General features: G+C 42.8%; 1 protein-coding gene across 6 annotated transcripts in view; it reads left to right on the top strand.

Moving 5' to 3' along the window:
• DCT (dopachrome tautomerase) overlaps window positions 1–12,995 on the top strand; it is a 112,596-nt gene that overhangs the window by 39,717 nt on the left and 59,884 nt on the right. Inside the window, exons 2-3 of one of the 6 annotated variants that reach the window (XM_011521049.3) lie at window positions 4,071–4,177; window positions 4,637–4,779. The exons of 4 other annotated variants lie outside the window; for them this stretch is intronic. In XM_011521049.3, coding sequence (XP_011519351.1) covers window positions 4,674–4,779 — 106 coding nt within the window. In that variant the 5' untranslated portion in view covers window positions 4,071–4,177; window positions 4,637–4,673. Of the gene's footprint in view, window positions 1–4,070; window positions 4,178–4,617; window positions 4,780–12,995 lie in introns of all 6 variants that reach the window. One more of the 6 variants, NM_001322186.2, reaches the window with a different exon arrangement.

The raw sequence follows: 12,995 nt of genomic DNA, 5'->3' as shown, positions 1-12,995 counted from the left end.
TAGCAGTGTCAAGTAACTGGCCCAGAGCCCATGTATCAGTCAGGGTAGGCTAAGTTATGCTGAGATAACACTCCTAAAATCTAAGTAGCTTAAGACAAGGATTTATTTCTCACTCACACTGCATATCCATTATGGTTGGCAAGGGGCTGTGCTCCACATTGTCCCCACTTTAGGGCCAGGCTGAAAATCACACACTGGCTTTACTTCTTTTATTTTACTGGCCAGAATGTGTCACATGGTCACACTCCTCTGTGTGTGTGTGGGGAGGGGGTGATGGTGTGGGGGGAGATGTCAGTACTTCCCAGGAGAAAAGATATGGAAATATTTGAGAGAACAGCACCAATGACTGCCACAGCCAGGAGATGGGGACCCAGGATTTATACCCAGGCAGGCTCTCCACAGCTGACATCCTACCCACCATACTGCATGGCCTCCCACTTACAGAAAAAGGAGAAAAGTTCACAAAGTTAAGAGTCTTCCAAATTTTAGATCTCATAGTTTTCTCTCAGCTCTGAAAGACTGACAGCAATGCACTGGTTGTCTGATTCAGCCTCTTATTTCCAAATACCCATTCAGTTTGCTTCTCTCAACTCAACATAATAGGTAGCCCAGAGCTAAGACACCATGGAGGAGGGAGTTGGAAACTGACCTCTCTCAGTAGGGTCTGATTCAGTGGCTTGGAAACTGACCTCTCTCAGTAGTGTCTGATTCAGTGGCAAAGCAAAGGCTCAGAATTCCTCACAGAGCATCCTGACTAGAAGAGACTTTCAAAGTCGTTTAATTTAAGTACCAATCCCCTGTTTTTATTCTTCTTCTCTGAGAGTTGGTCATCCACCCTCCTCTGTAGCACTCATGGGACCAAGAGCTCAGAAAGTTCTGAGGCAGCATCTCCTGTAATTGGACTATCTGGTTAGAAAGTGTTTCTTTATAATGAGCTAAAATGTGTCTGTGTAAACTTCCACCCAGTGGCCCCCTATTCTTCTTTCTCAGGCCACACACAACAATTCGAATCCCCCTTTCCCAGAACAGCCCTTCACATTTAAAAAACTGTCTTTCATATTCCTCCTGAGTCTTTCTCCTCCAATTGGAAACTTCTCTAATTTGAAACACATCAAACTGAAAGTTTCATTTTTATGACAAGGTTGAGACTCTTCAGACAATTTGAGATTTCTTTTCCTTCTTTCTTTCTTTCCTCTCTTCCTCTTTCCCTCCATGCCTACTCCCCTTTCCCCAGTGCTAACAGAGTAAACTGATTGAAAAGACATAAATAGAAGGGAATTGATCAAATAGTGCCTGTTGCTGTGACAACTCAGTCACTGCTCCAGCACAGACCTTTCTTGGGGTCCAGTATAACCCACCTAGCTCTTTCTCTGATGCCAGATATTACTAGCGAATATGTGTTTGCAGACTCATCTGTGCCTAACTCATAGTGTTATTGAAGGAATAAAATAAATAATCTATAAAGTGGTCTGCTCAGTGCTTCATATGTAGTAGGAATCAAATGTTAGTTATTATGACAAACAATTAGGGCAATGATAGACAGTTTCTACCACCAACGTAATACATAATAATTACTAGTTATCACTTTTTACTAACAGCATCATGAAATGTAGCATGCTATGATCTTTGCAGATAACTGAGGTTTGCCTATGTATGCCATAGTAAACAATGTAAACTTATAAAAATGTGACTAAAGAGCAGTATATAAGGCCCTTTCATGTGCACATTTTTATCTTTGCTAAAGATTTGGATGAGCAATTTCTTCTATCATGAATGAAGTGAAGGATAGAGACTAAAACATGTAGACTCTTGACTCTATAAAGTTAGAAGTGATTAATTAAAACTGAGCTAATATCTTCTAAGAGTTTAGATAAAAAATAGTCAATATACGGCGGGGCGCGGTGGCTCACGCCTATAATCCCAGCACTTTGGGAGGCCGAGGCAGGTGGATCACGAGGTCAGGAGATCGAGACCATCCTGGCTAACACGTTGAAATCCCATCTCTACTAAAAATACCAAAAATTAGCCGGGCATGGTGGTGGGCGCTTATAGTCCCAGCTACTTGGGAGGCTGAGGCAGGAGAATGGCGTGAACCCAGGAGGCAGAGCTTGCAGTGAGCCAAGACCATGCCACTGCATTCCAGCCTGGGCAACAGAGAAAGACACTGTCTCAAAAAAAAAAAAAAAGTCAATATACCAGAAATGCAAACTCCAACTGTTGTTCAAAAGCAAGCTGTTCTTTGATAGCCCACATCAAAGGTGTTGCACCTGTTCGCTTGTGGTGTGAGATTGAAAGGCTACCAGAATATCCTCTTAGAATACCAGATGTTTTTTATTATCAAACTTTTTATTTTGAAATAACTTTAGACTTGTAGAAAAGTTCCAAAAAAGAGTAGCGAGACTTTCTCTTTACTTTTTACCCCCAGCTTTTCCTTATGTCAATACTTTACATAACCCTAGTATAATTATCAAAGGTAGGAAATTAGCATTGATACAATGATATTTACTCATTCGGAGATCTTATTTGAGTTTTGCCAGTTTTCCTTCTAATGTCCCTTTTCTGATTAAGCATGGCATGCCATGTAGTTGTGTCTCCATATTCTCCTTGGTCTGTGCAGTTCTTAGTCTTTGTCTTTTATGACTTGAACACTTTTGAAGAATACTAGCCAGTCCAACATCCTTATTTTCCAGATAAAGAAACCAAGACTCAAAGAGCTCAATAGAGTAAGATAATAGTAAAAACTCTCAATGTGCATCAGCCTGATTTTTAAAATAAATATTAATAGATTGAAGCTAAACATTTTTGGCAAGAACACTGCCAAAGTGATGCTGTGCCCTTTTTAGTGAATAACAGGATGTACATGATATTGATATATCTTATCATGGTGATGCTAAATTTGATCACTAGTTTAAGGCGGTATCCTACAGATTTCCCCACTTTTTAAAAATTATTTTTCTCTTTATAAGCAATAAATATCTTATAAGAAGATATTTTGAGACTATGTAAATACACTCTTTTGTCATGCAACAGTGTAATCCATAATGATTACTGTGGAATTTGTCTAATAGTTACTTTCTATTTGCATCATTCTTTCTATATTTACTAATTAAATTCTGCTGTCCCTTCTCACACATTAATTTTTTTATGTGTTTATTTATATAAGTATGAACTCATAATTATTTATTTTATTCTATGGGTTATAATCTATTACAATCATTATTTAAATTCTTGTTCACATTGTTTCAGATTTTACCACTGGGGGCTCTTCAAGTTGCTTTCTGTATCCTTTTGACTTGCCTCATCATTTTAGGGAGGACTCCTTACTTTCTTGCATCAAAAAATGTTTCAGGCTCTGCTTTTGCCTTTTTCTGCCCCAACCCTGGAATCAACTTTCCCCAAGAGCCTAGGTTGTTTTAATGGAGAATGGTATTTAGAAACGAAGAGCTGGGGCTAGATGACCAGATGGAGTTTTAAGCGATTAAGTAAACACCAGGGGGAGAAACAAAAGATAGTCACTGGTGTTTAGATATCCATGGTGGCAGATAACAAACTATACGTGATTTCTGAATATCAAGTATATTAGTTATATATTGCTGTGTAACAAATTACCCCCAAATTTAGCAGCTTAAAATACATGTATTATCTCACAGTTTCTGTGGATCAGGAATCCAGGCAGGGCTGAGCTGGTTCTCAACTCCAGCATTTCTAACAAGCTTCAGTCAAGTCAGCTGGGCTGTAGTAATCTTAAGGCTCAGCTGGAGATAATTCACTTCCAAGCTCACATGGATGTTTCCAAGATTTGGTTCCTTGTGGATTGCTGGACTGAGGGCCTTAGTTCCTTGCTGGCTGTTGGTTGAAGACTGCTCTCAATTTCTTGCCACGTGGGTCTCTTCAACAAGGCAGCTTGCTTTATCAAATTGTTCAAGCTGAGAAGACAATAGTGTTGGCTAGCAAGATGGAAACCAAAGTTTTTTATACAAACTCACAAAGTGATGTCCCATCATGTTTGCCATTTTCTCTTCTCCCCACTTTTGTGCCATACTCACTCTCTTTCAACTCTGATTATGTAGAATGGCTGTTGGTATCCTCCCGGTCTTCCTCCATGGCCGAAAAGGAAAATATGCTCCCATGGAAACCAGGATAACAGATGACCAGATGGCTTACATTCTCAAGCTAGGTACATTTGTTTTTCTAAAATGTAGCTTCTACAAACGGACTTTCGGCCAAATCTAGACTCTGACATTAAATAAGATAATGACTGATGTTAGAGGATTAGTAGAAAATCTAGAAATAGCCTGCACTTGGCAGTAGGACTATGGTGTCTAATCTGGAGGTAATATTATCTTTGTCTAACAAAGAAGTAGAATTTTTGAAGCTGAAAGAGACCTTAGAATAATGCAGACCAAGCCCTAATTCCCCTTATTTTCCAGATGAAAAATCTAAGACCTAGTAAGATAATGATAAAATGCGTGTGTCAAGAACCCTAGACCAGGATACCAGATCTAGTGTGCTTTCCCCAAGACCAAACCAGGGCCTTCAGGATAACAAAGAGTATTTCTGTGACAAAAGAGACAATTTGTTCTTATAAACATTTTCTAAACTTTTTTGGTGTACCAGGCTTTTGTTCGTTTTTCAGTCATCAAGCCTAACTGAGCATCCACTCTGTTGCTGAAATGCTGCTGGGGATACAAAGACAAATGAAGTGCCGTCTCCGTTCTGATGTGACAAAGAGACTAGAGGAAGATGAACATGTGAACACACACAGTCCAATGAGAAGAGGTAGGAGGGAGTTATGCAGAAGGTGCCTTGGATACAAAGAAAATAAGCCAATACAAGTCATTTCTTATTTTTCACACACCTAATAATAAATGGCATCACCTTGACAAGTCACAAATGTTGTATTGGAAATCCTTAGCAATATTTTTCAGAGGGTTGCTTATGGGCATTTTGGGTGGGACAACTCTGCCACCTGCCCATTGAATGCCAGTAGCAAGTATCCCCCCAGATCAAAAACAAATGCTGGCCAGGTGCAGTGGCTCACCCCTGTAATCCCAGCACTTTGAAAGGCCAAAGTGGGTGGATCACCTGAGATCAGGAGTTCGAGACCAGCCTGGCCAACAAGATGAAACCCCATCTCTACTAAAAATACAAAAAATTAGCCGGGCATTGTGGCAGGCACCTGTAATCCCAGCTACTCAGGAGGCTGAGGCAGGAGAATCACTGGAACCTGGGAGGTGGAGGTTGCAGTGAGCTGAGATTGTGCCACTGCACTCCAGCCTGGGCAACAAGAGCGAAACTCCATCTCAAAGAAAAAACAAAACAAACAAACAACAAAAAAACTACAAATGCCCCAGCACCACCAAAGTTGTGCACTGCATCAGTTGATAAGCTCTACCAAGGCTAACAGGTAACAAGAATCTACCTGCAGTACACAGAAGCAGAATGCTGCTTTGCAAACATATTGAAGCATTGAAAATTAGTGTAAATTTGGAACAGATGATTTTAGCTGAAGATTAATTACATTAGCCAAACACAAGAATCACAGTCTATAAAAATAACAAGGATTGCACCACTTTTCAGCAGCATCTTATTAATTCCAAGTCTTGCAAATTTGGCTTTGGATTAAGATGTACTAATGTTTATTTTTGCCTTCACTTTGATAAATGAGTTCACCAAGCAACAACATAAACAAAACAGAAAGAAAATGTTTACTTCACTTATGCACAACCAACACCATTCATTTTACAGGTATAAAGCAAACAGTAGTTCATCAATAACTCTAATAGTTATGAAAGCCAGGACCCCCACTTGAAAATTGTATGAGCAATTTTTAAAAAGAGAATAATGGGTATGTACCTGTATTAGTTTTCTAGGGCTGCTGTCACAAATTACCATAAATTGAGTGGCTTAAAACAGCAGTAATTTATTCTCTCACCGTTGTGGAGGCCAGAAGTCTGAAATCAAGGTATAGGCAGGGCCATGCTATCCCCAGAGGTTCTAGGGTAGAACCCATCCTGTCTTCCAGCTTCTGGTGGCTCCAGGAAGTCTTTGGCTTGTGACAGTATCACTGCAATCTCTGCCTTTGTCTTCACATGGCTTTCTTCCTTGTGTCTCTCCAGTTTTCTGAGGCCTTTGTCTTATGAGGACACCAGTCAGATTTTGTGCCCACCCTAAATCCAGGACTGTATCATTTTAAGATCCTTAACTTTCCCCTCCCCTCCTCTTCCCTCCCCTCCTCTCCTCTCCTTTTCTTTCTTTCTTTCTTTCCCCCACCTCCCCTCCCCTCTCCTCTCCTTCCCTTCCCTCCTTTTTTTGAAATGGGGTCTCTGTCACCCTAGCTGCAGTGCAGTGGCGTGATCTTGGCTCACTGCAGCCTCGACCTCCCAGGCTCAGGCAATCCTCCTACCTCAGCTTCCTGAGTAGCTGGGACTACAGGCATGCACCACCATGCCCAGCTAATTTTTTGTATTTTTAGTAGAGATGGGGTTTTTGCTATGTTTCCCAGGCTGGCGTTGAACTCCTGGACTCAAGCAATCCATGCCCCCTTGGCCTCCCAAAGTGCTGGGATTATAGGCATGAGCCACCGCACCCAACCTAACTGTATTTTCAAAGACTTTATTTCCAAATAAAGTGACATTCACAGGTCCCAGGGCTTAGGTCTCGAGCACATCATTTTGGCAGACATTATTTAAACCACCACGGTGTTTCTAACAATATTTTATAACCCACCTCTTTACTAGTTAAACCAGGTTTTCCTTGCAATGAGCCTGACTTGGGAAGCCTCACTGAGTCACAGAAAGGTGGGGACCTGGGGTGGCAGGCTCACAGTGGCTGGAAGTCAGAGGATTTGTCTGCATGAGCAGATGTGGTCTGGAGATACAGATTTCGGAGAGAGTGCAGCGAGGAGAGGAAAGGACAGCCACACGTTGAAGGGCTAGTAGACGAGAAAGATTTATAAAGATGACTGAGGAAAATGAAGAAAAAAAGGAGGACACAAGGAGAATGAGGTACCTAGAAGCTGAGGGAAAGGGGTGAACCAAGAAAGGAGAGGAGGGGGTCAGAAAGCTACAAAGAGGCCAAGCAAGCGAAGGACTGGCCAGATGCCTGCTGGGTGTAATCACAAGTTCACCAGCTCCTCGCAGCTGAGTGTTGAGGGCTGATGACTGAACGCAGGTGCAATAGTTAAGGATTAAATGGAAAAAGAGCAGGTGGAGGCTGGGAGCTCAGGCCACTCTCCCAAAGAGTCTGGCAGGGAAAGTAAGCCGAGAACTATGGCAATACCTGCTGGAGGAAGGTCCGTGTCCTTCCCCACCACAGAATCAACTGGAAATGGCAGAGGCAACAGAAGAACATGATGGTGAGAGAAAGGGGCAAAATTCATGGGATGAGGGGGACAGCAGGGAGGGCTATGGAACAGTGAAGGCACCCTCAGCAGAGCCTCAGAAGTGGGGGCTGGGGCTATGGAACAGTGAAGGCACCCTCAGCAGAGCCTCAGAAGTAGGGGCTGGGGCTATGGAACAGTGAAGGCACCCTCAGCAGAGCCTCAGAAGTGGGGGCTGGGGCTATGGAACAGTGAAGGCACCCTCAGCAGAGCCTCAGAAGTAGGGGCTGGGGCTATGGAACAGTGAAGGCACCCTCAGCAGAGCCTCAGAAGTGGGGGCTGGGGCTATGGAACAGTGAAGGCACCCTCAGCAGAGCCTCAGAAGTAGGGGCTGAGGCTATGGAAACAGTGGGAGACCCAGCAAGGGCAGAGTGAGGGAGACAATAATACCTACAAGATAGCGAACTTTGGGCTGCCTTCAGCTTCCTTAAGCTGAAACATGAGGACTTTCCTGACATGGTCTCTGCTCAATCTGCAGCCTTGTCCCTCATGAACTCTTCCCTTCTTGCACCTAGTGCGCCACATTGTGATGATTTGGCTTTTGTAATGCTGTGCCCTCTGCTTGGGACACCCTCCCTCACTCTCGCAGGTTTGGTGGTCTTGCCAGGAGTTTCTGCAAGCCTGTTCTCATTCTCTCTCTCTCCTCTCTCTCCTTTCTCTCTCTCTCTCTCTCTGTCTCTGTCTTTGTCTCTGCATAAGTACCGTGACTGCAAGATCCATGGCTGTCTTCTTCCCCATCCTTGTGAGCCTGGTGCCTAGTGCAGGGCCAGGCATACAGTAGGTGCTTAATAAACATTTGTTCAAGGAATAAGTCAAAAAGGAAGGAAAGTAGAAAGGAGGAACAGATGGTGACTAGAAAGGACAACTTACTTTTTATGTACTAGAGGCACTAACTTCTTTAATTTTTCCGACAGCCTGATCAGAGAGAGGTATTATGAACACCATCCACTTTTTATAAACAATGAAAATAAATGCTCAGAGAGATGAACATTTCCAAATTCTTTTATTTATTTTTAATTAATTAATTTATTTATTTATTTGAGACGGAGTCTTGCTCTGTCACCCAGGCTGGAGTGCAGTGGTGCGATCTCCGTTCACTGCAAGCTCCGCCTCCCGGGTTCACGCCATTCTCCTGCCTCAGCCTCCTGAGTAGCTGGGACTGCAGGTGCCCGCCACCACGCCCAGCTAATTTTTTTTTGTATTTTTAGTAGAGATGGGGTTTCACCATGTTAGCCAGGATGGTCTCTATCTGCTGACCTCGTGATCTGCCCGCCTCAGCCTCCCAAAGTGCCAAATTCTTTTAAAATCTATAAAAGAACAATTATTTAGAAAAAAAAGAAACTAAAAATCACTGTGTGAGGATGGCAGTGGTAGAAAAGTCTGGAAGGATCGTCACCAAATGTTAATGGGGTTGTCACAGAGTGGTGCATTGTGCTATTCTGCTTTTGTTCCGTTTGCCTATCTGAATGATTTTTTAAAATGAAAATATATTTACAAAGTGAAGAGCAATGTTTACTGCAGCATTATTCTAATAGCCAAGAAAAGGAAACAAGCTAAGTGTCCATAAACGGTTGAATGGACAAAGAAAATGTGGTACACAATGGGATATTATTCATCCTTAAAAGCAAGGAGATTCTGTCATTTGCAACAGGATGGATGACTCTGGATGACATTATGCTAAGTGAGATAAGCCAGGCATAGACAGACAAAATCTGCATGATCTCACTTATATATGGGTTCTAAAAACATCAAACTCTTAGAAGCAGAGAGCAGAATGGTAGTGATATGGTTTGGTTGTATCCCCACCCAAATCTCATTTTGAATTATAGCTCCCATAATTCCCACATGTTGTGGGAGGGACCAGGTGGGAGATAATTGAATCATGGGAGTGGTTTCTCCCATACTGTTTTCATGGTAGTGAATAAGTCTCACGAGATTTGATGATTTTCTAAGGGGCTCCCCCTGTTGTTGGCTCTCATTTTCTCTCTTGCCTGCTGCCATGATTGTGAGGCCTCCCCAGCCACGTGGAACTGTGAGTCCATTAAACCTCTTTTTCTTTATAAATTACCCAGTCTCGGCTATGTCTTTGTTGGCAGCATGAGAACAGACTAATACAGGTTGTTGTCAGGGATGGGAAGTGAGGGAAATGGGGAGATGTTGATGAAAGGGTAAAAGCTTCAGATGTGTAGGATGAATAAGCTCTGGAGATCTAGTGTATAGCCCGGTGACTATACTTAACTATACTCTATTGTATACTTGAAATTTGCCCAAAGAATAGATCTTAATTGTTCTCTCACACACAAAAAAGGTAACTATATGTTATGGATATGTTAATTAGCTTGATTATCATTTCACAACATATAGGTATATTAAAACTTCCTATTGTATGCCTTAAATATATACAATATTTGTTTGTCAGTTATAACCTCAATAAAGCTGAGGAGAAGAGGGAAGGCCAGCTGTGCTTTCGGTTAGAGCATGGTGGGGGTTCAGCCCTCTCCTATGGAGAGAGTGAAGGGCTGGAACACAGGGTTGGCCAGAGTCATGAGGGGAGGTCAGTTTAATATTCTCCATGGCTTGGACTTGAGGCTAGCTCTGGGAGTCAAATCATTCCTAACTTATTGATTCCAGTGTAAAACTGAAATGGTGTCTAGGCCACCGATGGTGCACTTTGCTTATTTGTTCATTAAGAACTAGAGGTGTTTTGTATGTTTAAAATTAGGCCATCTAATTCATGCTGCCAGGTTTGCTTTTGAACATCCTGAAGAGAAAATTATTCTTTTATACTGCCATCAACAGCCACTGCTTGGTGCTTTGGAGAGAACGCACACACACACACACACTCACTCTCATGCACACTCCTTTGGTCCTTTTATTGCTTTGGGAATGGGAGCATATATCTTTATGCTTTTAGTCTTCTTTATGCTAAATATTTATGCCAAGTTTTAATCAGGAAGCTAAATGTGTGTCTGGAATTGGTTCCTTCTGGTGGGTTCTTGGTCTCACTGCCTTCAAAAATGAAGCCGCAGACCTTCACGGTGAGTGTTACAGCTCTTAAAGATGGTGTGTCTGGAGTTTCTTCCTTCTGGTGGGTTTGTGGTCTCGCTGACTTCAAGAATGAAGCTGCAGACCTCTGCAGCCAGTGTTACAGCTCTTACAGGTGGTTTGGACCCAAAGAGTGAGCAACAGCAAGATTTATTGTGAAAAGCGAAAGAACAAAGCTTCCACAGTGTGGAAGGGGACCCGAATGGGGTGCCACTGCTGGCTGGGGTGGCCAGCTTTTATTCCCTTATTTGGCCCCACCCACTTCCTGCTGATTGGTCCATTTTACAGAGTGCTGATTGGTCCATTTTACAGAGTGCTGACTGGCGCATTTACAATCCTTTAGCTGGACACAGAGCAATGATTGGTGTGTTTTTACAGAGTGCTGACTGGTGCATTTACAATCCTTTAGCTAGACATAGAGCAATGATTGGTGTGTTTTTACAGAGTGCTGATTGATACATTTACAATCCTTTAGCTAGACACAGAGCACTGATTGGTGCATTTACAATCCTCTAGCTAGACAGAAAAGTTCTCCAAGTCCCCACTCGACCCAGGAAGTCCAGTTGGCTTCACCTCTCAAATGTACACAGCTCCTGTCATAGTTCAGGCTGCTGTAACAAATTACTGTAAACTGGGTGGCTTCAACAACAAGTGTTGATTTCTCACAGTTCTGTCTGGAAGCTGGAAGTTGAGTTTAGTGTGCTAGCTGGGTCAGGTTCCTGGTGAAGGCCCTCTTCCTGGTTTATAGAGGAAAGCTCTCTCTGGCCTTTTCTTATTAGGGCACTAACCCCATTCATGAGGGCTCCACCCTTGTGACCTTATCATTTCCCAAAGGCTCCACCTCCTAATGCTATCCCATTGGGATTAGGGCATCAGTATGAATCTGGAGCAGGGAGAGGGGATGCAAATATTCAGTCCATAACAGCTCCTAAAGATTTTCTGCTCAGCTCTAATTTATTTGTTCACTTCTTTGACAATTTTAACTGTGGGATTGAGGAGAAAGTCTATAAAAGTCCCTCTTATTATGCTTGGTCTACCTGTTTTCACTCACTGATGGAGTAGCCAGGGGGCTTCATCTAGTGGTTTCCTCACATATTTTATCCACATGCAATTCTTGACACACCAACTTTGGGGATTTCACTCATCCAAGATTGTTCCCTTCCTGAGGGAGTAGAGGTTTAGGATTCTGTCTGGCTGTTGTCCTCGATTCTGAGTTTGCTTCCTGAGGACAGCAGCTCTTACTTAGGCCTCCAAAAGGTAGCTTGTTCTTTGCATTTAAGAATATCCTCCACTGAAAAGTGCAGAGCAGACATATTAAGGTACTCCAGGGAAACTGAACCAGTAAGATGTATATGTGCATGCATGTGTGTACACACACACACACACATATAGGTGACCCCTGAACAACATGGGTTTGAACTGCACAGGTCCATTTGTACATGGAGTTTTTTTTGATAAAAGTTACATGGAGCATGCCTGCCTCTCCTGCCTCCCCTTCCATCCCCTCTACCTCTTCCACCTCTGCCACCCCTGAGACAGCAAGACCAACCCCTCTTCTTCCTCCTCCTCCTCAGCCTACTCAATGCAAAGATGAGGATGAAGACCTTTATGATGACCCACTTACACTTAATTAGTAGATATATTTCTCTTCGTCATGATTTTTAAGTAAAATTTTATTTTCTGTAGTTTGCTTTATTGTAAGAATACAGTGCCTAATACATATAAAATATGTGTTCATTGACTATTTATGTTATTGGTACATCTTCCAGTCAACAGTAGGTTATTAGTAGTTAAGTTTTGGGGGAGTTAAAAGCTATACTTGGATTTTAGACTGCATGGGGAGTTGGTGCTCCTAACCCCATGATGTTCAAGGGTCAACTGTTATTCACCTAGAGAGACAGATTTATTTTAAGGAATTGGATCACTTGATTATGGAGGCTGACAAGTCCAAGATCTGCAGAGTAGCCTGGCAGGCTGGAGACTCAGGGAAGGGTTACCGTTCAAGTCTGAAAGCAGTCTGCTGGCAGAACTCCCTCCTGCTCAGGGGAGGTCATTCTTTGATCTATTCAGGCCGTCATCTGGTTGGATGAGGCCCACCTACGTTATGAAGAGCAGTCTGCTTTACTTAAGGTCTACCCATTTAAATGTTAATTTCATCCAGAAAATACCCCGCAGAAATATCCAGAAAAATGTTTAACCAAATGTCTGGGTGCCCAGTCAAGTTGACACATAAAATTAACCAACACAGATTTCCCAGAGGCTCGACTGAAGAACATTTATGAGACACAATTTAGTTCAACTCTTAACGTGTTCCCTGTGAGTCTTGAAGGACGTCCAGCACTTGTGTGGGCACAGCAAGGAGCACTGAGGCCTGCAGCTTTCCTCTCTCTCCTCTGCTCCAGGTGTATTCACAGCCCACTAGACACTATTTCCAGAGCCTGCAGAAGCCGAATATCCATGGTGCTCTGAAGTCCTGGTATCTAGGAGCATGTTGCAGCCTGCTGTTGTGCATTTCCCATGGTGAACATGCAGGTTAGGCATGTTGCAGTTCTAGTGCTTTAGCAGTTAA

The sequence above is a fragment of the Homo sapiens genome, chromosome 13 (genome assembly GCF_000001405.40).
Source record: "Homo sapiens chromosome 13, GRCh38.p14 Primary Assembly".
Taxonomy (NCBI): Eukaryota; Metazoa; Chordata; class Mammalia; order Primates; family Hominidae; genus Homo; species Homo sapiens.
The sequence above is the reverse complement of the archived record's forward strand: the minus strand, read 5'-3'. Positions and strand labels throughout refer to the sequence as shown.